Source organism: Homo sapiens, chromosome 4, assembly GCF_000001405.40.
Source record: "Homo sapiens chromosome 4, GRCh38.p14 Primary Assembly".
NCBI classification, from domain to species: domain Eukaryota; kingdom Metazoa; phylum Chordata; class Mammalia; order Primates; family Hominidae; genus Homo; species Homo sapiens.
Window position 1 is genome coordinate 121851912 of NC_000004.12, and position 27971 is coordinate 121879882.

Below are 27971 nucleotides of genomic sequence, written 5' to 3' on the forward strand. Positions count from 1 at the left end.
TAAATGCTATGACATTTCTGGGGTTTGGAATAAAAGTCAAAGAGGAGACTTGGGGTCTGAATAGGAAAGTTTCTCAAAGGGCTGATGAGAAAAAGCAGGAGATCATCAACAATGGATTATTATTTCTAAGCCTAAACTATTACCTGCATCATTAGCAGGATGACTTTTTACACCAAAACAAGATGAACAAATTTGAAACCAATCTATAAAATAAACTCAACTGTGTAACATTTTTATCCCTATATTTTCTAAATGATATACTTTACCTGTGCTTCAAACCACTTGTATTTTCTGAACTGCAGTTAAAGTTAGGATTGAGAGGTACCACTAGTAGATAAATTAGACCAAAAATTAGACTCAGTTGACACTGAGTTGTGAACTCTTTTTTTTCTTTAAGTTTAATAGCCTCAGTGTGTCCTATATTAGGCAGGATAGGGAAGCCCTGGATTGGTGAACACTAGTTCATGAAAATTAAAGATTCAATTTATGCCAGAATGCTTCTCTATGTAACTTTATAGCTTGGCATAAATGAGTTTAATTACATTTAAAATTTGTGAATTAAAATTACTTTTATCTAGTATTTCTTCTAATACAGGCAGCCCTTGAGTGGGTAGGAGTGAAACTGCTACTTTTTTCATTTTGCTTAAGGTTATTTCTGATACTGTCCTAACAATATGAAGTTTATTCCTAAAATCTTATTATTTTAAAACAACAGACTTACTTATATTAACCAAACATATAAATATTACTCCCATAAAGTGTCATTATATGTTATAAACTAAGGCAAAATATTTAATACTTTAGAGACTTATAATAATATTTTAAAGTATAATGAAAAAGTAATTTGTTATCCTGCTTAAAGGCAAGAGTCTATTATTCAAACACAAGAGAAGTCTAGAGAAGATTCTGATAACATCAAAATAGCAATATTTTAAACCAAACACAAGATTTTAATATATTTTCACTTAATAAAATTCAAACCATCTGTCATCTCTATAATAATTTGACAAATAATAAGCATATAGTCTTTTTTAATGAACTTACCTGATCAAATCGTAGAACAGGTTCATTTGCATTATCAAAACTATACACTTCCACCATTCCGTCATCTCTCCCAACAAGTAAATCTTTAACCCCATCACCCACAATGTCAAAGCTGTCAATACACAAAATACCTTTAAAAAGAGATATGTGATAAGTTATTAAGAAGACTAATAGTTATGGTCAAGTATATGCCAAGTAAGAATGAAAAAAACACACATACCGACTCAGAATGGTGAGCAAAAAAACTTTGACCAAAATCAAGTGCTCTTCTCTTGTCCATCCACATTCATCTATTTCCAGGTCTTTAAATATAATCTGTGTGAGAACGGCCCCTACATTTATATCTCCCTCCAGCTCTGGCCAAAGCTCCAGACTTATATATTCAATTTGGTATCTTCTCACAGACATCTGCATCTAAAACTTTCCATACCCCAAACAAAACTCTTTATTCCCCTCTTTACCATACCCCCTCAATACTGCTCCTCCCTCTGTCTTCCCCCATCTCCATAAATTATTCTACCTAGCTGCTCAGACAAAAATTCTGGGCCACATCTGATTTCTTTCTTTTTCTCACCACCCCTCATATCAAAACTGCTAGCAAATTCCATCTTCTCTACCTCCACAATATATACTGAAATTGTCTATGTTTCCAGCTACTGATAGCCTAGACTAAGCTAGCCTAGACTAGAATAAATTATAATAACTCTTCTAACTGGTCTCCATGCTTCCAGTTTTGACCTGTTGCCCCCCGCCCCCTCCAATCCATTCTCCAGTGTCCTTTGTTTTGTTTAGGCTTAGTAAATTAAGTGTCACACTCCCACTGACAATTTTCTAATGACTTCCTACAGCACCTAGATTAAAATTCAAACTGTTTTCCAAGGCTTACACAATTTGGCTCTACTCTACCTCTCTGACTCCATCTCCTGCCATGTTAACGCATTTAGCCAAACTGACTGACCTTCCTACTGTTCCTCAAATGAATCAAATCTACCTCCACCTCAAATCTTTCACACTTACTTTTTCCTCTTCCTGAAACATTTTTTTCCCCAAATCTTCATATTGCTAACTCTTTTTCTTATCAATCAGATCTCAGTTCAAATTTCACCTCTTCTAAGAGGCTATCTTTGACTACGTGGTCTAAAAGTGACCCTCCTCCTTCTACCATCACTCTCTAATACACAGCCCTGTTTTATTTTCTTCAGGTGACTAGGTAAAGCTGTCTTATGTATTTATTTGTTTTTACTCTGTCTCTCCTAATAAGTATTTGTTGAAGGAATAAATGAATATATGAACATCCTGAACATATACATAGGCATCTCACTATCTACCTAATCAGTTATAAATTCTCCTTAGAAAGGTATAAATTCCTTAGAAAACAGGAATATTCTCTGACCCACTGCACTTCTTCTTTGCCTCATAACAAAGACTCCCAGATTCCAATTAATTCTGTACCTCAAACAACTAAATTACCTCAGACAATTAAAATCCAATTAAAATTGGATTTTAGCATAAAATGATATTAGCCTATAAAAACGTATCAATACCAAATTACTATCAGCATTTCTTACTTTTAAAAAATTATGCCAATAGTATAATAGACCTGACAAATAAACAAATAGTAGATAAATCAAGGTGTGAATTGCTAAGTCTGCTATGTAGTATAAATAGATAAAATAGAATAAATTATATAATTTAAGATACTTAATAATCATTGACACCTCAGAATCTGAACTACATGAAAAGCATACCTCCTCTCTTTTTCTCATTTTGAATTTCCCACTTGCGTACTGGTTTGGATGTAGTAATCTGTATAAGCGCAAGTTTTCCGTCTGATGTCCCAAACAAAAGGTCTTCTCCAGAGTCACCTACTTATAATTAAAGTCAACATATTATATTTATCCTACAATTAGTAATCTCTTTAAAATTAAAATGTTGTTATGTAAAAATATCATTTTAAAAAGTACTATAAAAAGATATAAAACTTAATTGTTGAGAATGGTTATATATTCACACAATTTTATAGCTATAAGAGATAAGACATTTCCCCATTATATAATTTTAAGATGAAGAAACTAGGTTGGGTGCCGTGGCTCATGCCTGTAATCCCAGCACTTTGGGAGACTGAGGTGAGAGGATCCCTTGAGCCCAGGAGTTCCAGACTAACCTGGGCAACATGGCGAAACCCTGTCTCTATAAAAAATACCAAAAACCTAGCCGGGCATGGTGGTGTGCGCCTGTAGTACTAGGGAGGCTGAGGTGGGAGGATCCCTTGAGCCTGGGAGGTCGAGGCCGTGGTGAGCTGAGATTGTACCACTGCACGCCAGCCTGGGAGACAGAGTGAGACCCTGCCCCCCAGCCCCCCAAAAAAGAAAAAAACGGAGAATTAAAAGTTCAATAACTCGTGCTGTTAGTTACTGGCAAGTTACCAGAAAGACAACTGTCTCAATTCTAGTTTATGTCCTTTCTACAATTTCCCATTTTCACTTACTATTAAAACACATAGTTGATTTGTGAAAAATAAAATCCTGATTACCGCCATTTCCATTGTGTAGTGCTAAGACAGTAGGGGGTCCAGGAACTTCAACTGCATACATCACATCAGATCCCTGAAGGAGAAGTATTTAAAAACTGAAACAGAATACAAACTGAAAATAATAGAGGCATTCATGAATAACATCAATATTCAAATACAGTACTCTTAGTAACACCTAGAATAAAATTGCTTTAAAAATTAGGTTACGAATACAACTTGCATTTGTTAGCAATTTTGCATATATCAACTGATTTGAAAACAACATATATACACATATATACGTATAAATGTATACATATATACGTATATATACAGATATGTACACACATGTATACATATATACACATATGTATACATATATGCACATGTATGTGTATATATGTATATGTACATATATGTACATACATGTATGTGTATATATGTATATATGTGTACATGTACATGTGTATATGTATATGTACATATATATGTGTGTATATATATATATATAAAATGTAAAGACCAAGAAGAAAACATTTAAAATATTCTCTACCTTTAATACATTTTAAATACATTGTTTGCCTGAAAACTTGACACTGGCAGATTTTCCTATCAAGTCTCTAGGAACAAATTATTCCCTCTGCCCTCTCTAGGTTAACTGGAAGTCTTTAACTTGGAATACATCCAAATATTTTAACAGACACAAAGTTACTTCCTAAGGAAAATTTTGGCCTTGCCTTTGGGTATTCCCAAAATCTGCTCCAGTCAGAGGCTGAATGACCTGCTACTTAGATAAAAAAACAAGTTAGGTCCTTATATATTTATCAGTTTTTCAATTTTGCTACTTGTAATGCTTGTCATTTTGGGCACAGTATTTGTGATGCTGTTAAAGAATGAGTTAGAAGTACTTATACTCACATGGAAAAAATATCCATGATCTATAATTCAATGAATACAAAATTTGCAAAATGGGGTGTGGTGGCTTATGCCTGTAATCCCAGCACTTCCGGAGGCCAAGACGGGTGGATCATCAGGTCAGGAGTTCAAGACCAGCCTGACCAACATGGTGAAACCGTCTCTACTAAAAATACAAAATTAGCCAGGTGTGGTGGTGCATGCCTGTAATCCCAGCTACTCAGGAGGCTAAAGGAGGAGAATTGCTTGAACCCGGGAAGCAGAGGTCGCAGTGAGCCAAGATTGCACCACTACTCCAGCCTGGGCGACAGAGCAAGACTCCATCTCAAAAAAAAAAGAAAACACAATTTGCAAAATTATAGTTAATATGGTATGACATTTTTGTTTTAATGTTTTTTTTTTTTTGAGATGGAATCTTGCTTTGTTGCCCAGGCTGAAATGCAATGCTGTGACCTCAGCTCGCTGCAACCTCCACCTTCCGGGTTTAAGTGATTCTCCTGTCTCAGCTGCCCGAGTAGCTGGATTACAGGTGCAGGCCACCATGCCTGGCTAAGTTTTGTATTTTTAGTAGAGACAAAGTTTCACCATGTTGGCCAGACTGGTCTTGAACTCCTGACCTCAGGTGATCCATCTGCCTCAGCCTCCCACAGTGCTGGGATTACAGGCGTGAGCCACCACATCAGGACTAAAAAAAGTTTAATGTTTATTTAGAAAACGTAAGAAAGCCATATGCTTTATCTTTTTTTTTTTTTTTGAGCCAGGATCTGACTCTGTCATCCAGGCTGGAGTGCAGTGCAGTGGTGTGATCATAGCTTACCGCAGCCTCGACCTTCTGGGCTCAAATGATGTTCCCACCTCAGCTTCCTGAGTAGCTGGGACTACTGGCATGCACCACCATGCCCAGCTAAATTTTTTTTAAGAGATGGGGGTCTCGCTATGTTGCCCAGGCTGGTCTTGAATTCCTGGAGTCAAGTGATCCTCCAACCTCGGCCTCCCAAAGTGCTGGGGTAATAGGCCTGAGCCGCTGTGCCCAGCCTGTTTTATCTTTTATTTAAAATATCATATTAAAATTTACAGATATCTACACGTAACTATATAAACACAAAAGAATATACACAAAACTGTTAAAAAGAGGCAACCTCTGGAGTAATGGATTATTCACAGAGATAGACGGGGAGTGAGAAAAAAGCATGCGGTGCAGAGGGAAAGACTTCAACTTTATTTTCTACAGATCTTTAGTAATTATTTTAAAAATAATAAGCATATGGATCTCTTGTCAAAGCAGAATCCTAGAATTCAGTCAATTTCTAATTGAATGCTAAACAGCTCCTGTTAAAAGCCTTGTTCAAAACAATTCATATTTAAAAGCATAGGCTATGGGGGAAATTAATCATTCATAACTCTAAAATGAACCTTTTTTCTTTTCTTTTTTTTTTTTTTTTGAGATGGAGTCTCCCTCTGTTGCCCAGGCTGGAGTGCAGTGATGCAATTTCAGCTCACCGCAACCTCCGCCTCCTGGGTTCGAGTGATTCTTGTGCTTCAGCCTCCTGAGTAACTGGGATTACAGGTGTGTGCTACTGCACCCAGCTAATTTTGTATTTTTAGTAGAGACAGGGTTTCACCATGTTGGCCAGGCTGGTCTCAAACTCCTGGCCTCAAATGATCTTCCCGTCTCAGCCTCCAAAAGTGCTGGAATTACAGGTGTGAGCCACCATGCCTGGCCTAAAATGAACCTTTAACATTACTTTGTCCCTGGGGGGTAAAAACCTCATAGACTCACTGGATTTTTCCTTTTACAAAAGGGCTGATGCCAAGAAATGGCCATCTGACTATGGAATTCCAAAGAGTGAGATAGCCTGTGGTGGCATGGACTTCACAGCTCAACTTTTTCATCAACTGCACCAACTATATCAGCCTGTTTCTGATACAGTTCATCTAACTGTTACATGCTATTTACCTTTAAACATTATTTTAAGCATCCTATAGAGTGTGTGTGTGTGTGTGTGTGCATATATTTTATTGAAAGTCACTCTCAAGAAGATATAGTGGTAACTATTATTACTCATAACAATGACCTGAAGCAGTTGTTTTAGCCAATCGTGGTTTTTACCAGAAATATAAGGACATCAAAATGAATTTTCCCTCTATCACTCATTTACTTATCCAACATATATTTACTGAGTGCTTATTCCATATACTTCCATAAACACTGGATAAACTCAAGTTATATAACATCCTCCCTCCAACCCAATTTCTTCCTTTAATTTGATTTTTGGGGAAGATAAAGGTGATGGAAGAAGAAAACAAAACAAAAAGGCAGGTAAAGGTTCTCTGTAGTCAAAGTACTCCATTCTGATAATAGCTCAGAAATTGTGTATGGTGAGGCAAAAAAAATCCTTTTTCTTCCAAATATGCTTCTCTTAAAAACTTACAAAACAACACATTTGACTCAAGTTAAAAAAATTAATATGTCAAATTATTTAAAAATTGTTTCCACATGTTTATAAAAGCCCTTAAAACAGTAACCACTAATTTATCTCAAGTACATAATGTTCATTGATATTCTTTCACATAATATAAAAAATTAGAAAAATACAAATAACAGCAACCTGTAAAACTCTGAGCACTCTGTCCTGGCAGGCCAATACAGGTGTGATACGAGATAATCTTTCCACTGGAAGGCAGATCACATCATTGATTTTATCCCCAGAAAGGTAATAATGTTGGTCTTTGCAGTCACAATAATGGTTATAGATGTAACTTGCACTGAGAAAGAGGTCTGAGCCAGATATGTGCCTGAGAACATTAAAATAGTAATTTTTAAAAATAAGCACAGGTACTGAATTTTTTTCAGAGATAAAAACAGAAAAATGTATACAGTTTACTAACATTTTATTATAGACTTAGAGAACACAGTTTTTAAAACTTTCTCCTAGTTAATTCCTAGTATTTTTGGTATAACACTGTTTTTGATTTTGAAAGCTGAAAATGAGGATGTTAAGGCCTCGGGCTTCTCAATAAAAACTGAGCTCAGAAAAATGGAAAACAAAGACAAGATAATGATAATTTAACTGTCTATATCCAAAGACAATTAATACATCAAAAAATGACTTCTTTGTGTACTATGTGCCAAGCACTATCTTAAGTGATTTTTATGTATTAGATCAATTAATCATCATAACTCTATAAAATAAGGACCATTATTATTCCTTTTACAGGTGAATAATAAAATGTAAAATAACTTGCCTAATGGCACCTAAGTATTAAGTAGTAGATTAGACTGCAACTCAGTTTTTTGCTCGAGTTAGCTTTCTTACTACCACACTAAATTGCCTGAAAAAGTCTATTTTAAGTGATTCTACCTCAAACTAAATGATAAACAGCAGAAAAAAAAAGATTTCATTAGAACTTTATCTTGAAAAAAGAAATGAAAACAAGTTTATTTCATATTACATTTAACAAAATTTAGTCAATAGTCATAACTATATTCTAATTCTTAGACTGAACTGAGTTTTCACTTGGGTGAGCTAAAATGTCTTGACAAAAATTATATTTAAGTGTGATATATTTTTCACTTCTAGGTTGTTATTACCATATTTATCATAAAGAGGGTAATTTTATTTGAATGTTTCATGTATTCCTCTACCTCCAAGTTCTATTAAAAAATTTTATATTAAAATTATTCTCTGAAGAGCTTATCCTATAATAATCCTCCCTGATTTTCTATTCTTCAGTTATTAAGTGGCCTCACTTTGTGGCTCTGCATATGATTGAATAGTCCTCTTACTATTTTTATCAATTTCATGAAATTCTCTATGTTTTTCAAAATTTTAAATTCCATTTTGAAACCAATCTGTATTATATTTGCATTATATTGGCCAAAGTACTATTTAGCAATCTCTATTGTTGACATGAGTGGGGATACATGGCAACATTAAGCAGGAAAGGATATGTGGTGACTAATGTTAAGTGGTCAGTTTCCTTACTGAATATCTTCAAGTTATAACTTTTGTTTTCCTATAAAACCTTACAAATGTGGGGATTCAGACAATCAATTTTCAAAAATTGAGTAAAGAACTTTTCTATCCCATCTTTGCCACTCTAGTAAAAACATTTAAGAAACCACTTGAAGAGACTGTTACTGAGAAACTCTCTATCTTTCTCACACTACTATCCATATAACTGTCCGAATGTAGAGTTATGCTATTAACACATTACTTTCAGTATTCCATAATTATCATTGGCCATGTCTATATACAAGTGTATTTCAAAAGTGTTACTATTCTTGTTAAACCATTTGAAATTACATATTTCCACTTATCATGGTTTAATTTTAATCTAATTTCACCAAGCCAATGTTTTACATCCCAAACATCAGGAGATGTGCTGTGCATTATACAAAACTTTGGGCTGAATCAGTTGTTTCTAGCCTAAGAGTCTGGCTGATTATATAACTTGGCTGCACTAGATTCAAAGGAAGAACTTAAAAAATAAAAATAAAACCTACTCCTGGTTATTTTGATTCGGCAGGTATGAGGTAGGACAAGGAATTGTTTAAGTGGCCCAAGGGATTCTTCTAAGTAGCAAATATAAGAAATAATGAATTAGATGAATTTTAAAGCCCTTTTCAGCTCCCTGTGATTCAAAAACTCAAATCTGAATTGCAAAATCTCACATATCAGGCAGCCATTTAGGGAGCTATATTTCACTTAGAGTCTTACCTGATATACCTGAAATTATACCCTATTGGTAATCACTAACTTTGACAGCCAGCCTTTTAACATAATGATGCTACCTGAAAACCAGAACTATCAAAAATAGCCAAGGAACATAAAGCTAAATATCTAGATTTATTTTCAATTTTTTTGATACCTTGATCATGAATCAAACTGAACCAAGTTGTCAAAAATGATTGTATAAATACTATAAAGTTCTTTAAAAAAATTTCAACAACCAATTTAATATTGATTGTAGGTCAAATTTAGTTTCTGACTAATAAAATACCTTTAGTTAATTTTATTTTCCAGAAAGCCTATTAAGATATGATACTTAGTTGCCTCACATCTATCCAAAATATTATAAATAAGTATGTAAAAATACAAAAGAGAACAAAAGACATACATAGCTTTAATGCTTTCAGTGAGGTTTGTTTCAAAGGAGAGGAACTGTTTTCCTCTTTTTGTGAAGCCTCTAATCTCAGATGCTGCAGCAATAAAAATTTTCTCCTGAGGTGTGTTGATAACCCCTCCCAGTTCCAGCCTTGCAATCTTCGGCCCGGGTAAAGTCTTGAACACTGCCTGAAAAAAATCATTCAGGAAAAAAGTACACAAATTACTTTATTGTGAGCATTTTTTCCTTTACAATAGAAAATGTTATGATGTTAAATTTGCAAAATATTATAGTTCCACTATATAGAAATAATTTTAGATAATAATCTATATACTTCAGCAGGTCTTCAGGTTTTTTGCTATACTTAACTTTTAAATATATATTCCCACACATATTTGAATGATGTCATTGAAATCTAAATCCTTGTAATTCAAAGTACAGTTCACTAAGCAGCAATGTTAGCATCACTAAATTTATTTAAAATGCAGCAGATCAACTGAATGAGAATCTGTATTTTAACAAGATTCCCCAGCTGGTTCCTATGCCTACTGAAGTTTTAGAGGCATTGGATTAACAATACTCCTACGAACAGGGAAGTCCATTTGGCAAATTCTTTAATGAGGTCCAATGAACATGTTTTTACACTTCAATCATCTTTTAAAACTAATCTTTCCTGGCTTCTTTACAATTTTTATAAATTTTAATAGTTAAAGGACTATAGAATTTACTGAAAATGTGAATGTATGACTTAATACCTATAATCATATATCTATTTAACTGAAAACAATATTCATTTCATTAATTTTTTTGTGGTTATTTTCCATTTTATTATTTGCACCAGCTTCTTCTCCTCCACTTCCTCCCCATGACTTTATATACAGAGAATAAGATATCTGGGAGAATATGAATAATGGAAACACTGAGTTTCTGGTAGTTTTTATTCTCTTCATCTTTCTGGAAATTCCATATAATATATAATGAATACTAGAATTCACATCTCAGACTCATCATTCTAAGTTTCTAATTATGATCTGTAAATATGATAATGTAATAGTAATAACTTCCTTGATTAGGTTAAATTAAGTGGAAAAGGTTGTGGGTTAGTTGCTTCCATGATTACATTATGCTACATAAGATTCTTTCTTAGCAGACTACAGAAATTTCCTGCTGGCTTTGATGAATTAGATTACCATGTTGTGAGAAGGACTGTAAGAGAACCACAGAGCAAGAAATTGCAGAGACCTCAAGGAATTGAGAGCAGCCCCTGGTTTACAGATGTTAATAAAGTGGGGACCTCAGTCCTATAATAGCAAGGAACTGAATTCTGCAAACAACCACATGAGCTTGGAATAAGACCCCACACTCTAGAAAGGAACACAGCTCAGCTGACATCTAAATTGCAGCTGTGTGAAACCTTGAGCACAAACTCCTGTGCTACAGAAACTGTTAGATAATAAATGTGTGTTGTGTTAAGGCCCTAAATTTGGGGTAATATATTACACAGCATAGAAAAGTAACCCACGACCACAGGATGCCAAAGGTGCCTTACAACTAGCTAGCAAATTACTTTTGTGCTACCCGCAGACTCATATCTCACATAACTACTTACCTCAGAACCCATTTTCCATTACCTGTATTTTAGGAAATTTTTAACCTAGTATTATTCAATAAATAGTGCATTCTCTTTTAGAAAACCATTTTTCCCCTTCACAAAGCTATACTTACTGCTGCTTCTCCTTTCTTCATGCCAAAGCACATAACTACCCCATCATGATCTCCAATAACCACCTGTAATAGATGGAAGATAATCTAAAATTACTATTATTAATATTATGACCTAATAATTATATACAGGGAAAGCAAGATTCTTAATTTATAAATACTGACTTAATAGAGATCAGAAAATCTAGGAAAGACACCCCCACAAAAAATAATCCTCAAAAGAACAAGAGCCAAAAGAGAAGGATATGGAGAGTCATTAGAAAAGTAATTGGCCATAGATTTTGTTCCTATAATGTTAATAGGACAACACAATATATTTTGTTTTGCTTTTTTTCAACTTTTATTGTAGGTTCTGGGAGTCCACATGCAGGTTGTTACGAAGGTATACTGCCAGACAACAGTTATGGACAGAAATGCCTACAAAGTAATTTTTTTTTCATAACTGGAGCATAAGAACATTTTAAGATTAACTTTTAAAACAGATTATCAAATAAAGTTGTGACTGACATATTTAATAATTTTAAACACCTTTTTTAAAAGAAAAATTTTAATGTATGAAAATGTACACAAAATATTATAATGAATTATCATGTGCCTATCACCTAGTTTCAACAATTACCAACATGTAGACAATGAATTGTTTTGAAATAAATATAGAGGGACATTTTAACACTTCTTCCTCAAAAGTAGATATCAAACAACCTTAGACCAGTTCCAGTACGTGGCCTGCTGGGTACCAGGCCACACAGCAGGAGGTGAGCAGCGGGAAAGTGATCATTTACAGACTGAGCTCCGCCTCCCGTCAGATCAGCAGCGTCATTAGATTCTCATAGAAGCACAAACCCTATTGTGAACTGCGCATGGTTGTATGCTCCTTATGAGAATCTAACTAATGCCTGATGATCTGAGGTAGAACACAGTTTCATCCCAAAACAATCCCAGCCCCATTGGTGGAAAAACTGTCTTCCACGAAACTGGTTCCTGGTGCTAAAAAACTCTGGGAGCTCTGATTTAAGAAACTACTACTTATCAAGTTTAGGCATAGTATCAAACAGAGAGTCACAATCATCTGAAAAAGCTATTTAAATACCCCTCCTTATTTCCAGCTATGTATCTGTGTAAGCTGGATTTTCTTCAAATATTTCAGCCAAAACAACATAGCACAGCAGATTGAATGCAGTAAACAAATATGAAAATCTATGTGTGTATGCTTATGCCAGGACATTAAACAAGTTGCAAAAAGTATAACATAATGACACTATACTCACTAAATTCTTTGTTTTGAAAAATAGTTATTTTTCATAAAGACATGTTATGTAAACATGTAATAATTTTTTTAAAATAAAATAGTTTAAGCATTTCTTAGTTTTCATTTTAATATAGTAAGTATTGATACATACAACTTACATAAACAAATGTTCTTTGGGATCCTCAATCATTTAATTGTGTAAAGGGGTGCTGAGACCAAAAATTTTGAGAAGTGCTAATCTAGTAGACTTAATACAGTAAATGACAATCAGAAATCTGTTGGTTTATCTTTTTTATTTTATTCATTTATTTTTTAATTGACAACAATTGTACATATTCGTGGGGTACATAGCAATGTTTCAATACATATAACATATACTGATCACACTGGGATAATTAGCATATCCATCATCTAAAATACTGATCATTTCTCTGGGTTAGGATCAGTCAATACCTTCTTTTTAGCTATTTGAAACTATATATTGTTAACTATAGTCATCCTATAGTGGTATAGACTACTTGAGTTTTTTCTTCCTATCTAGCTATAATTTTATATCCTTTAATAAATATCTCCCTATCCCTCCCTTCCCTCTACCCTTTGCAGCCTCTAGTATTCTCTGTCCTACTTTTTACTTTAACGTGACCAACTTTTTTTAGCTTCCACATATTAATGAGAACATGTGGTGTTCAACTTTCTGTTCCTGGCTTATTTCACTAAACATAATGTCCTCCAGTTCCATCCATGTTACTGCAAATGATAGGATTTCATTCTTCTCTCTCTTTTTTTTTTTTTTGAGACAGAGTTTTGCCCTTGTCGGCCAGGCTGGAGTGCAAAGGTGCCATCTCAGCTCACTGCAACCTCTGCCTCCTGGGTTCAAGCGATTCTCCCATGTCAGCCCCCCAAGTAGCTGGAATTACAGATGCCTGCCATCGTGCCTGGCTAATTTTTGTATTTTTAGTACAGATGGGGTTTCACCATGTTGGCCAGGCTGGTCTCCAACTGCTGACCTCAGGTGATCCGCCCGCCTCAGCCTCCCAAAGTGCTGGGATTACAGGCGTGAGTCACCATGCCTGGCCAGGATTTCATTATTTTTTATTGCTGAATAGTATTCCATTGTGTATATATACCACTTTTTTTTATACATTCATCTGTTGTTAAACACCCAGGCTGATTCCATATCTTGGCTATTGTGAACAGTGCTGCAATAAAACATGAGGCTGCAGTTGTCTCTTTGATATGATGATTTCCTTTCCTTTGGGTAAATTCCCAGCAGTGGGGTTGCTAAATCATATGGTCGCCCTATTTGTAGTTTTTGAAAAATCCTACATACTGTTCACTATAGTGGATGTACTATCCCACCAATGGCACAGAAGAGTTTCCTTTCTCCACATTCTTGCCAGTATTTGTTGTTTTTTGGTTTTTTGTTTTCTTGTCTTTTTGATAACAGCCATTCTAACTGGGGTAAGATGATACTTCATTGTGGTTTGATTTGCCATTTTCCTGATGATTAATGATGTTAAGTATTTTTTCATGTTTTTTTGGTCATTTGTATGTATTCTTCTGAGAAATGTTTAGATCATTTGCCCACTTTTTAATCAGATTGCTTGTTTGTTTGCTATTGGTATGTTTGAGTTCCTTGTATATTCTGGATATTAATTCCTTGTTGGATGAGTAGTTTGCAAATATTTTAAATCCCATTCTATAGATTGTCTTTTCACTCTTGTTGATTGTTTCCTTTCCTGTGTAGAAGCTTTTTGGTTTGATATGATCCCACTTGTTTATTTTTGCTTTTGTTGTTTGTGTTTTTGAGGTCTTATTCATTAACTATTTTCCCAGACCAATGTCCTAAAGCATTAACATTTAGGTCTTTTTTTGTTTTTTGTTTTGTTTTGTTTTGTTTTTTTGAGATGGAGTCTTCCTCTCCTGAGTAGCTGGGATTACAGGTGCCTGCCACAATGACAAGCTAATTTTTTTGTATTTCTAGTAGAGATAGGGTTTCACCATGTTGGCCAGGCTGGTCTTGAACTCCTGACCTCAAGTGATCCACTCGCCTTGGCCTCCCAAACTGCAGGGATTACAAGTGTGAGCCACCACACCTGGCCACATTTAGGTCTCTGATCCATTTTGTGTTCATTTTTATATGGGGTGAGAGGTGGGGGTCTTGGTTTCATCCTTCTGCATATGAATATTCAGTTTTCCCAGCACCATTTATTGAAGAGGCTGTCCTTTCCCCAGGGGCTGTTCTTGGCTCTTTTGTCAAAAATCAGTTGGTTGTAGATATGTGGATTAATTTCTGAGTTCTCTATTCCATTTTATGTTCTCTGTGTCTCTGTGTTTTTATGCCAGTATTATGCTGTTTTGGTTACTACAGCTTTGTAGTATATTTTGAGATCTGGTAGTGTAATGCCCCAGCTTTGTTCCTTTTACTCAGGATTGTTTTGGCTATTTGGGGTCTTTGTGGTTCCATACAAATTTTAAGATTTTTTTTCTCTTCCTGTGAAAAATGACATTGGTATTTCGATAGAGATTGCATTGAATCTGTAGATTGCTTTGGGTTGTATTGTTATTTTAACAAAATTAATTCTTCCAATCCATGAACATGGGATGTTTTTCCATTTGTTGGTATCCTCTTTAATTTCTTTCATCAGTGTTTTATAGTTTTTTTTATAGAGGTCTTTCATTTCCTTGGTTAATTTATTCCTAAGTATTTTATCTTTTATCTATTATAATTGGGATTGTGTTCTTGATTTCTTTTTCAGCTAGTTTGTTGTGTATAGAAACACTACTAATTTCAGTATATTAATTTTGTATCCTGCAACTTTACTGAATTCATTTGTCAGTTCTAAGAGTTTTTTGGTAGAGTCTTTAGGTTTTTCTATATATAGGATCATGTCATCGGCAAACAGAGATAATTTGACTCTCCTTTCCAATCTGGATGCACTTTATTTCTTTTTCTTGTATAATTGCTCTGGCTAGGACTTCTAGTACTATGTGTAATTGTTGATTCATCTTGCTAAAATGTTTATATATCAGGATAAAGTATTTTTTTGCAGCTATTAAAATATTTGGCTAGTCTACTAAGAAACTATAATTGTTTTGTGGAAATCATAGGATCAACATTTCTTTAAACATAATCAATATTGTTAGTTAAGTACAGTTTAACATCAAAATATTTAATGACTTTAAAATATGAGAAAGTTTAAAGAGAACATTTTCTTGATACCTTATTCTGCTTTATATTTCTTTTTTCATATACACATCTGACACACAGAAAAAATGGAGTATGGTTTTTAAGTTTGCCTACACTGTTTACTAATGGTATATAATAATTTTAATGTCCAAGAAAATTATTGTCTATAAATGTCCCTTGGTATTCCAGTTTCTGTTCAAATTAAAAAATTCATTTCCATTTTAACATTAGCATTTTTAAGAGAATAACTTAATAATAAAGAAGGAAATAGGAGCCTCTCCTCTGTCACTGCTAGGGAATAGTGGAGAAATCAGAATCTATACAGTACCTTTTGTGTAGCTCTGTGTCTTGAGGCAGGAATTAGCTTCATAGTCTTCTGAGATGTTACTCCCACCTAAAGAAAAACACCAGATGCCTAGTGAATTTAATTTGAAGTTATTACAGAGATTAAAATAAGTTATAGTGAACCTTTTTGTTAAACTGAAATTAGTGATATAACTATTATCAGTAATTAATTTATTTTCTAATGAGATATGTCATATTAGTCAGAATACATATAGGAAACAACCAAAATAGTAAAATTTATCCTATAAAGTTGTCAAGCCAAAAATAGTTGTGTAAGATGACTGGCAAGATGCTTTACTAAAAAATATCTCTAGAAGCCTTCTTTTCCAACTGCATACAGTTGTTCAGCAAAGTGATTCAAGAACTTTGAAAATAGATTATAGTTATTAAAAATGCAACGGAAGACCACATGCAGTGGCTCATGCCTGTAATCTCAGCACTTTGGGAGGCTGAAGTGGGAGGATCACTTGAGCCCAGGTGTTCAACACCATCTAGGCAACACAGGGAGACTCTGTCTCTACAAAAAATAAAAAATTAGCTAGGCATGGTGGTGCATGCCTGCAGGCCCAACTACTTGGAAGGCTGAGGCAGGAGGATAACTTGAGTCCAGGAATTTGAGGCTGTGGTGAGTCATGATCATGCCACTGTACTCCAGACTGGCTGCGTGACAGAACAAGACCCTGTTTCAAAAAAAAAAAAAAAAAAAAAAAAAAAAAAAAGAAGATTTATGCTAAAATACCAAATATGATAATGGCCATAACATCCAATCTAACAGGTGAAGATTATTTTACAAAAAAATACAGAGGATGAAAGCAGCAGGGAACTGTCACTGCTGGTGTATAGTTAGGAGAAGAGGATGGGACCAATGGGAGAGGAATTGGTGAAAACAACACATCATGATAAAACGTTCATATAGTATAAATGACTTTATTCTGCATTCCAGAAAATTGTATTAAAGTCATCTGCTTAGATTTGTATTTCTGAAACATCAATCTAGCAAGTGATGTGAAGGATGGCTTGGAGGGAGATGAAGCTGGAGTTCAGGAGCCCAATTTGGAGGTTATTTCAATTATTCAAGCAAGAGAAGATGAGAACCCAAATGAGGGTAATAGAGATGGAAGATATGGGACAGATTCAAGAGATATTTGGGAGTTAAAAGCAGTAAGATGTGGTGACCAGTTGGATATGGAAGTACATAGCATAAACCCCTAGAAAATTGACTGGGCAAACATTTGTACCATTAACTAAAATGAGGTGGCCTAAAAATATGATGAGGAATTGGGGTAGAGAGAATTTTAGGTCTGAAAGAAATTCTGAAAGGCAGTGTAGTGTAACAAAAATACACCAGTTCTGGAGTCCGAGACTTTGATTCAAATAGCCACTCCCTAATTTTTAGCTATTAAGCAAATTACTTGCCTTCTCTAACCCCTTAGATCCTCATTTATAATATTGTCTACTTTGCAAATTCTTATGAGGATTAAATATGTTGGTAGGTATGCTAAATTCTTAGAATAAGCTAGATGCACATTAAACTGTTGTCATTGCTTTTTTTCCCCCTTTCGAGACAGTCTCGCTCTGTCGCCCCAGCTGGAGTGCAGTGGCATGATGTCAGCTCACTGCAGCCTCCGCCTCCCGAGTTCAAGCGATTCTCCTGCCTTAACCTCCCGAGTACCTGGGATTACAGGCGCCCGCCACCACACCGGGCTAATTTTTGTACTTTTTGTAGAGAAGAGGTTTAACCATGTAGGCTAGGCTGGTCTCGAACTGCTGACCTTAGGTGATCCGCCCGCCTCGGCCTCCCAAAGTGCTGGGATAACAGGCGTGAGCCACTGCCCCCGGCCCGGTTTTCATTGCTTTTACCATGATCTGCCTGGTGCGGTACAGCTCACAGTAAGAAACAAGTGCCTGGTGCTCCGCAAAAGGGTCCGGGTAGAGATGGAGATTGAGGATTAGAGGCCCTCAGGCAGCCACGGCTAGGGAGGAGGAGAAGGGCCCTGGGGGGAATCCGGGATGAGACAGTGTCACATTTTCAGAGCATCCTCAGGACCCGGCAGAAGCCAGTACCGTGGGGGCTTGTGCCGCTTTTCCCCGGTCCCCTCGGACCGTCACAGACGAAAGGGAGCTGCCCAAAGGCGGGGTGCTGAGAGGTCGGCACCCAGCCCGGCTCCTTCGCCTCCGCACCAGCTCCTGGCGACCGAGACTTTCGTCAGTGGAAGGAAGGAATCCTCTCCGGGTGCTGGGCTTGCCCAGCGCGGCGCCCGCCCTATCCCTTGGGTTTACCTGCAGATAATCCATTCGGTTTAAAATCAGATCCATGATGACTACGCGGAGGGGCTAAGCAGCGCCGGACAAGAACAGGAGGGACAGAGGCTTCGGGCCCGCAGGCCTCCGACCCAGTCAGAAGGCTGCCCGCGCCCCTCAAAAGCCAGCCCCAGCTACCGCGCCTAGGTCCTGGGCTGCACAGGCGGGGCGACAGGGCAGTGGCGTCCTGCGTGACGTCAGTACGCTGCTGCGAGGGGCTCCTGGAAGAAGATGAAGGCCCGCCCCTTTCCCGAAGCACCGCCCACTGACAGCGTGTTCCAATCAGAGGCGGAGAGGAACAAAAGAGGCGAGGTCCGGGAGACCCATACAGGGCGGTTTCCACAGAGACCCCAGACGCAGTCTTGGCTCCACCCTCACCGCGGCCCAGGGCTAATACTGGACTTCTTTCCTTATCGCTGTAGAAAAAACTAGATAAGCCTGCTAGATTCTGACCGATTTCACTCTGACATTGGAAAGGGTCCTACAAAGAATTAGGTTCCACCGTTATAGGTGCTAGCTTACAGCAGCGGTTCTTAGACTTTTGGCCTTAGGACTTATTTACAAGACTCTTAAAAACCGTTGAGGAGCACAAAGACCATTTGCTTTTTGTGGGTTTTCTCTCATTTTTAATGTTTTTTTTATTTCAATAGTTTTGGGTGTACAGGCGGGTTTTGGTTACATGGATGAGCTCTTGAGTGGCGAATTCCGAGATTTTAGTGTACCCGTCACCCACCAGTGTACACTGTACCCAATATGTAGTATTTTATCCCTCACCCCGCTCCCAATCTCCTCCCTACCTGGAGTTCCCAGAATCCATTATATCGCTCTGTATGTCTTTGCATCCTCATAACTGAACATGCAGTATTTGGTTTTCTATTCCTAAGTTACTTCACTTAGAATAATGGCCTCCAGTTCCATCCAAGTTGCTGCCAAAAGATATTATTTCGTTCCTTTTTATGGCTGAGTAGTATTCAATGGTGTATATATACTACATTTTCTTTATCCACTCGTTAGTCAATGGGCACTTAGGTTGGCCCCATATCTTTGCAATTGCGACTTATGCTGCTATAAACATGCGTGTATATGTGTCTTTTTCCTTTGGGTAGATACCCAGTAGTGGGATTGCTGGATTGAATGGTAGCTCCACCTTTATTTATTTATTTAAGGAAACTTTATACTGTTTTCCATAGTGGTGGTATTAATTTACATCCCCCAAGCAGTGCAAAAGTGTTCCCTTTTCACCATATCGACACCAACGTATATTTTCTAAATTTTATTTTTTATGTTTATTTTTTTTTTTTTGAGACAGAGTCTTGCTCTTGTCCCCCAGTCTGGAGTGCAATGGCACTATCTCGGCTCACTGCAACCTCCGGCTCCCGGGTTCAAGTGATTCTCCTGCCTCAGCCTCCCGAGTAGCTGGGATTACAGGTGCCCGCCACCACGCCTGGCTGATTTTTGTATTTTTAGTAGAAACAGGGTTTTGCCATGTTGGCCAGGCTGGTCTCGAACTCCTGACCTCGTGATCCGCCTGCCTCATGGCCATTATTGCAGGAGTAAGGTGGTATCTCACTGTGGTTTTAATTTGCATTTCCCTGGTGATTTAGTGATGTTGAGCATCTTTTCATGTTTGTTGGCTATTTGTATATCTTCTTTTGAAAAATGTCCTTTGCCCACTTTTTGATGGGATTGTTTTTTTCTAGCTGATTTGTTTGAGTTCCTTGTAGATTCTAGGTACAAGTCCTTTATCAGATGCACAGTTTGAAAATATTTTCTTTTACTCTATGGGCTGTTTACTGATTATTTCTTTTGCTGTGCAGAAGCTTTTTAGTTTATTTAGGTCCCATTTATTTATTTTTGTTTTTGTTGCATTTGGCTAATGTCCAAAAGAGTTTTTCCAATGTTATCTTCTAAAATTTTTGTGGTTTCAGGTCTTAGATTTAAGTCTTTGATTCATCTTGAGTTGATTTTTGTATAAGGTGAGAGATGGGAATCCAGTTTCATTCTTCTACCTGTGGCTAAACTAGTTTTCCCAGCACCATTTATTGAATAGGGCGCCCTTTTCCCAATTTATGTTTTTGTATGCTTTGTTGAAGATCAGTTGACTGTAAGTACTTGGCTTTATTTCTGGGTTCTCTATTCTGTTCCATTGGTCTATGTGTCTTTATTTATTTATTTATTTATTTTACCTGTACCATGCTGTTTTGGTAACTTGCCTTGCAGTATAATTTGAAGTGTGGTAACGTGATGCCTCCAGATTTGTTCTTTTTGCTTATTATTGCTTTGGCTATTCAGGCTGTCTTTTGGTTCCATATGAATTTTAGAATTTTTTTTTTAGTTCTGTGAAAAGTAGTAATGATATTTTGATGGGAATTGCACTGAATCTGTAGATTGCTTTGGAAAGTATAAAGACCATTTGTTTATATGAGTTACCTATTGATTTTTACCATATTAGACATTAGAACTGAAAACAATTAGTGTTTTTTAAAAACCTATGACAAATATCTTAATGAAAAAAATATTTTCCAAAATAAAAAAATAAAATAACTGGTACTGTGCGCAAATCTATTTTCTGTCCATTTTAATAGTAGACAGGAGGAGCTTCAAATCTGCTACTGCATTCAATCTATTGTTATATGTTGTTTTTGTTCATGTATATGAAGAAAATTTGGTCCAAACTCAACAAGTAGTAGTTTTTTGAAAGGTTAGTTGCAATGTGAAATGTGACTTTGTTACACAACATCAAAAAATTCCATCTGTTAGTATCACCATGGATCTCATCAGTAAAGTCCCGAGTATGGGAGATCTGTCAAACTTAGATGGTGAATACATATTTTCCAAAATTCAAATTTGTGCTTGAAAGTTTGAAATTTACACATTGGCAAGAAATGTCGATTGTTTTCCTTGAACTGATAGGTTCCCTTCTTGAATTCACAAGAAAGTAAATGCCAGATATCTAAGTCTGAATAATCATAATTTGTGAGTAATTCCTTCAAATAAAAAGTGTCCCATGAAAAAAGCAGGAAGTTCAGCTAGCAGCTCAATCCCACAAGTGCTTTTCCTTGAGACAACTAATGTATTTCAGTATTCAGTAGAAGGATTTTATACATACTTCTTATGTCCTCACATAGAACATTTAAAAAGACATATTCAAGAGTTAAGATGTAATAAATGAGGGCTGAATCAGAAGAAAGAAAAAAGAAAAAAAGATAATATTAACAATGTTGCTGCTTCGTTAAGAACATTTTTATATGAAATGGTTTTTGTTTCCTATCAGTGCATGTTATATAGAATATGGTGTCTACTAGTACAGTTTGGAGCCACTATTTTGATTTATGCTTAAGCACTAGCAGTATTAACCACCATTGTTTCGGTACCATCAGTGCAAATGTCAGCAGAGTGAAATGGCAAATCACAACTTAGTGTTATGAAAATAGTTTCAAAATTGCAGACAGCTGTGAAAAGGCCTCAGGAACCACCCCTGCCCCTCGGGGCCCCACAGACTACTACTGACCCATAGTGACCCAGGATTTAAGAGCTGACATTCTTTGACTCACTTTCATCGGTCCTTCCTTAATGTGCATAGAGCTCTGCCTGGGGAAATACAGATAAGTTCAGATACAGCTACTTTCCTGATTCTTGTGGTTTTTCTTTTTCTTTCTTTCTTTTTTTTTTTTTTTGTAGAGATGGAGTTTTGCCATGTTGCCCAGGCTGGTATTGAACTCCTGGGCTCGAGTGGTCCGCCCACCTCAGCCTCCCAAAGTTCTGGGATTACAGACATGAGCCACTGTGGTTTTCCAGGAAAGAGTTCACAAATAATTGTGAAACAAAAAGAATTAAATCCCTGAGAAGAGGTGCTTCTTAAGAAGAGAAGTTATTTACTGCAGCAATATCTGAAAAAGTTTTCCCTGTGTTCCAGACAATTATATCTCTGAGGCTAAAATAATCCCACATTAAAATAGACAATACATGTAGATGGGTTAGCTGTTCAGCAATTTGGGGGAAATATATATCAATTTAGATTCAAGAAAAAAATACAAATAAATTTTAGAAGTCAACTGAAAAATAAAGCCATAGAAAAGACAGAAGAAAATAGAATTGTATAGCATTTTACAGAATTTTGGAGGTTGGAGGATATAGTATTAGTTTGCTAGGGCTGCCATAGCAAAGTAGTACACACTGGGAGGCTTTTCAACAACAGAAATTTATTTTCTCACAGTCTTGGAGTCTAGAAGTCATAGATCAAGGTGTCAGCAGGGAATAAAACCGATCTTCAGAGGCCTCTCTTCTTGGCTTATAGATCGTCATCTTCTCCGTGTCTTCACGTGGTCCTCCCTCTATGTCTGTCTGTGTCTCATCTTGTCTTTTTATAAGCACACCAGTCATATTATCTCATTTTAAATTAATTACCTCTTTAAAGACCCTATCTCCAACTATAGTTATAGTCTGAGATACTGAAGGCGAGGACTTTAACATGAGTTTTGAGGGGACACAATTCAGCCCATAACAGAAGGAAACTGATCTCAAAAGGAATAGAAGAAACCACAAAGGAAAAAAGCAGATATGGTGTTACATGCCTGTAGTCTCAGCTATTTGAAGGCTGAGGCTCAAGATTGCTTGAGCCCAACAATCCAGCCTGGGCAAAATAGCAAGGCCCCATCTCTAAAAAACAAACAAAAAACTAACTTAAAAAAAATGAAAAGTAAAGATAAACATTTCAATATGTCACAACAATGTTTAAATGAAAACAAAAATATAGGAGAAAAGAGTTAATATCTTAAAAAATAGTTCATACAAATTAATAATGAAGAAATACTATGGTTCTAATAAATAGGTAAAAAAAAAAACACCAAAGACAGACAATGCTGGCAGTGCTTACTTTCCATTTAGCAAGTGATGTCCACTGTTCAATTAATTGTGTAGAAGGAAAGTAAAAGTTTATTTTGAAGCTCAAATTTATTTTAAAACAGTGAAATGAGGCTATGATATAGCATCAAAACAATACAAAAAGTTTGCATAATATGATATTTGGAATTCTTTGATTTTGCATCTAAAAATGCAATTTATTATTTTTAAAGTACATACTATGTTTTGTTTCTAAATGATTAGTAAAGATTTCAACCTACTAATTTTAAGTATTCCTCAAATAATTAATTAGCAGGGTAAGGAATTTTTATTCACAATAAAGAAAATGTCAAGTTAAATTACCACTGTGTGTCCTCTTTTTAAAGATGTTTTAGGGTATCAGAGACATCTTGGTGGTCTTTATAAAACTCAACAGAAGATGGCTGCCTCTCAGATGTGACAAAGACCACTTTAGAGACAAATTTGCAGAATTACCATGCACCTCAGTAATTTATAACCTTATGTTATGGTGCTAAAGCAACCATTATGAGTATAAGTTAAACAACTTATGGCTAAAAATAAAAGCAATTTAAACTGCATTAAAGTTAAAACCATCAACACGCTAGTGGTGGTCAGCTGAGTGACTGAGTCATGAGTAAAAACATTAGTTTCCCCTAACACATGGTATAAATTTAGAAATTCTCAAACTCTTTTTTAAACTGAACAAAGTTATAAATACCCATTTTAGATTTTTTTTTTTTTTTTTTTTTTTTTTTGTGGGGGGTGGTTCACTTTGTCACCCAGGCTGGAGTGCAGTGGCGTGAACCAGCTCACTGCAGCCTCAACTTCCTGGGCTCAAGTTATCCTCTCACCCCAGCCTCCTGAGTAACTGGAACCACAGACACATGCCACCATGCCCGGCTAATTTTTTTTGTATTTTTTGTAGAGACAGTTTCACCATGTTGCCCTGCTGGTCTCGAACTCCTGAACTGAAGCCATCGACCTGCTTCAACGTCCCAAAGTGCTGCGATTACAGGTGTGCACCACTGTGCCCAGCCTGATTTTGGGAGGCTGAGGCAGGAGGATCGCTTGAGGCCAAAAGTTAAAGACTAGCCTGGACAACATAGTGAGACCCGCCTCTAAAAATGTATTTTAAAAACTTTATTTAAAAAATTTAAAAAGACATGGAAAGAAAGATTACCACCTTGGATGATGACATTAACCTCCTAAAACACCTCTATGAGCTCCAGGGACTAGGAACCCCTGATGTAGCATAACCCTGTTTGCCTGAACCATTTATGAAGACCAGAGAAGTTAAATGGTTTGTCCCATACCACAGTCATTAGTGTGGCTTCAGTTCTCTTTAGACATTGTCCATCAGACAATTTATCTTCCCATTTACAAAAGCTGCTTTCACTTGGCTTGCACATTTGAAATATAAATATATTGACATATTGGGTAAGATAGTTATCCTAAATTGTACCAAATTTGCTTTTAATAATCACAACATATCATTTTTGTTTTTATTGTGCATAAACTCTGTAAAGATACTCTGTACCATTTTTCAAAGTTTTCTCATTATTTCAAGTCTAAGAACCCAAACTTTTCAACAGATTGTGACTTCCATAAAGTCATGGGTGCTCTGTAAATTCAATACAGCAGGCACTTACAAAGTACCCAACTTTTCGAACAATAAGTCTAAGAAGCACTTTGAGTGTTGCTTTCTTTTCTTTATCTGTAAATGAGAAAAAAATAAGAATAGCAAAGAGGTAAAAAATGAGAGATGTCCTAAGGAAAAAAGAGTCCTGGGGCTTTGACAATCCTTTAATTAATGTTTTTTTCTATAAAGTTGTTTTTGGTCCTGTTTAAATGCTCCCTTCTCTGAGTTGCCCCAACAACTTCTTTGAGGTTTGTTTTCCCAAAGGTACCTGTTAAAAGTGACTAGGGAAAAGACTTGCTGACCCAGAGCTATCTTTATCCTCAAGTGAAGGACTAATTCTGACAGCAATCCCCTCGACTAATCCTCATCTCAACCGTATGCTACCACATTAATACCTTATGGCTTAGTGTGAGTTCCCTAAAAGCAAAACCTAATAAGATTTGGATGTGGTGACTCATTAAGGGGATGCTCTCTGGAGAAAGGGAAGGAAGGAAACTGGAAAAGGCAGAGGAAGAATCTAAACCAGGATTTCATCTCAGCTTGAGTCTGGCATCACCCTAATCCTTTCAGGAGCTCTGGAGCATGAACTGCACTGAATAGTTGGCCCCATCTTGAGACAAGGGGCCAGCCCTTTGTGCCCCCACCCATCAGTCACTGGCCATGGGGAGGCGGAGGCATCACATCCCGAGCAAGGCTTCTTCTTTTTAGCTGAGGGCAATTCTCCAGGGGAAGTGATTGGCTAGGAACTGCACAGGAGAATCTGGGAGACAGGTGCACTGGTCCAGTAGAGGGCATCTGGGCAGGGCATCAAAAACATCAACCACACTCACTACACCTTGTCATCACACCTTCTTCTGAAACAACACCTTGAAATGATGAATAAGGAAAAAGATGAAATATTAAAACTATACCAGTTTGTACATAGTAAATAAAGAAAAAATGCCTGTTAAGAGCTCTACAGTTGTGAGGGGCATGGACAAAAAAAAAAAAAAAAAAAAGTCAGCTTTTTATCCACATGGTGTGGATACCATGAGGCTTATCTTCATACTTCTCTGATCTTCAGATTCCAAGAATCTTAGGCTGAATGTCCCCAGCTGAATCTGCCACTTTTTCATTCAACATTTTTTCCAACCGCAAAGAAGAAAATTACAAAATATTCAGTTCCATAGCTATAAGCAAAAACTTTTCACACTTGGAATCCTGGACCATACTATAAAACTATCAGAAACATCTATTATAGAAACTTTGTATCTTTACTATCTTAACATATGGTAACATATAACAATGGAAAAATTCAATATTTTATTCAGTTCTGAGACACAACATAAAGTACATAAAGTTTGAAAAATGTTTAAGACGAATACTCTTAGCATGGCACAAAAGTTAATGAAGTGTTCTACAATGGTAGCAAAACATTTATAAAGTTCCTTTCTTAATTTAACTCCCAAAAAGTAGAAATTAAGAAATAATCTTTAAAGAGCTTTATGTAGTTCCATTTAACACTTATTTCTGTCTTCATGTCTAAAGAGCTTTTCTGCATGATAGCAATGATTTTAAAGTAGCATGTATTTAGTTGGTTTTAAGGACCTCTGAAAATCTTTGATCTATGATCACAATTCGTATTCCTATACGACTTGACAGCAACTGACTGCAGACTCAGGATGTTAAACATAACTCTATGAGAGATTTAAACCTAGCTGGTTAAAAAATGCTTTGAGTGTTTTATAGTCTCTGAAGTGACTGGGGAACTTACTGGTCTGCATGCCTTTTCCCATTAAAGTCAAGAGGCATTGCGGATATTACCAGCATTCAGCACAATTATGTAATAAGGCATATGTAGATATATCACAATATATTTTATATAGAAAGTGGAACTGGAATCCTTTGATAAGAAACAAAGATGTCAATCATTGTAAGCAACGATGGCAATAAATGCCCCAAAAGGAACTGAAACACACCTGGGGATGCTTGGCCATGTCTTTCCAAGTACGCCCATAGTCACTGCTCTTTCCTATTTCTTCCCATGAGCAGACCCTCCAAAACTCAGCAGGGAGCTCACAGGTGAGATATGAAGTCAGCTGTTGATATCTCATTTAGCATTAAAGCAGCAGAGGCAGAAATTAGATGGTTATAACAAAATGACAACCCTGCATAACCCCCAACTTAAAAGAAAATCACATTACTGAAAAACAACAAACGTAAGTCTAAGACAGAAAGCAAGCAGTCTATATTTTAGAAAAATCTTTAATGTGTTGTTTTAAATAATTCTATGAAACTTAAATATACAATGTAATTATATTTTTCATTAACCCATTTTGTTGTTAAATTCTTCACTTGGGGCTCAGTGGTTCTAGGATTATCAGTGACACCTAAAATTCTAAGAATGTCTTACCAAGTCATAGCTGGTTGTAAAATGTCTTCAGTTTCTATTAAAAAAAAAAAAAAAAAACCTCTTCAGAACTTGGACAAGGGAAGGTATGCTACATAGTGAAGACTTTTTATTTTTATTTTGTTGGCAGTTCAGTTGGTTTCAACATTTATTGAGCACCTACTATATACCAGGCACTGTACTAGATGCTGGAGACACAAAGATGAATAAGACATGGTCCCTGTCCCCAAGGAACTGATAGTCTCTTGGAGGCAAACAGGTAGTGCAAAGATGTGGAGTTTACTCTAAAATGAATAAAAGTTTCAATAATATAGTAATATTGGGCTTTTCAACACAATGGTATGCCACTGTAATGTCAAAGCAGACAAATAAAATGCATTTTCATGTGATAAAACAATAAAACCATTAAGAGCTAACTTTTAAAGGTTCACATGATAAAGGTAGTTAATACTAAAAATTTACATCATAGTTTTTCAAGTATTTCATACTTAGAAATATTATTGCCCACATTTGTGCTATAGTCAAAGCCAAATCCAGGTTGCTGCATCATTCACATCTCAGCATGCTGGGATTCAGTTTCTCACTAAGTTTATGAATTAGAATGGCTAATTCCTCAGTTGCTTGGCTCTTGTCTTCCAAAAGTTCATAACGAAGGCTGGAGATATCTTGCTTGATTTCTTTTAATTCACCTAT

The 27971-nt window shown here is 36.2% G+C and overlaps 2 protein-coding genes and 1 long non-coding RNA gene across 16 annotated transcripts in view, besides 1 other annotated feature; 1 reads left to right on the top strand and 2 right to left on the bottom strand.

Annotated features, from left to right (window-relative positions):
• The window catches only part of BBS7 (Bardet-Biedl syndrome 7), a 46146-nt gene extending 27583 nt beyond the window's left edge, over window positions 1-18563 (bottom strand). For 3 of the 9 annotated variants that reach the window (XM_017008357.3, NM_176824.3, NM_018190.4), the window contains exons 1-8: window positions 18367-18563; window positions 16070-16135; window positions 11306-11368; window positions 9593-9768; window positions 7081-7267; window positions 3578-3650; window positions 2793-2909; window positions 1045-1175 (exon numbers count right to left, since the gene is read on the bottom strand). In XM_017008357.3, coding sequence (XP_016863846.1) covers window positions 1045-1175; window positions 2793-2909; window positions 3578-3650; window positions 7081-7267; window positions 9593-9768; window positions 11306-11368; window positions 16070-16135; window positions 18367-18402 — 849 coding nt within the window. In that variant the 5' untranslated portion in view covers window positions 18403-18563. Of the gene's footprint in view, window positions 1-1044; window positions 1176-2792; window positions 2913-3532; window positions 3651-7080; window positions 7268-9592; window positions 9769-11305; window positions 11369-16069; window positions 16136-18366 lie in introns of all 9 variants that reach the window. The other 6 variants (XM_047415890.1, XM_005263106.5, XM_047415889.1 and 3 more) reach the window with 3 other exon arrangements.
• Window positions 18264-18493: an enhancer, noted in NCBI's record as "active region_21872". NCBI's record gives its function as "activates an Ori minimal core promoter by ATAC-STARR-seq in GM12878 lymphoblastoid cells {active_cell/tissue: GM12878}" and the evidence as "EXISTENCE:reporter gene assay evidence [ECO:0000049][PMID:35858748]".
• Window positions 18740-20935, top strand: BBS7-DT (BBS7 divergent transcript). Its single transcript, NR_186650.1, has one exon. It is a non-coding gene; the product is annotated as a BBS7 divergent transcript (long non-coding RNA).
• Window positions 22570-27971, bottom strand: part of TRPC3 (transient receptor potential cation channel subfamily C member 3) — a 77580-nt gene continuing 72178 nt past the window's right edge. For 5 of the 6 annotated variants that reach the window (NM_001366479.2, XM_011532218.4, NM_001130698.2 and 2 more), the window contains one exon: window positions 22570-27967. In NM_001366479.2, the coding sequence (NP_001353408.1) occupies window positions 27825-27967 (143 nt within the window). In that variant the 3' untranslated portion in view covers window positions 22570-27824. The remainder of the gene's footprint in view (window positions 27968-27971) is intronic. The other variant, NM_003305.2, reaches the window with a different exon arrangement.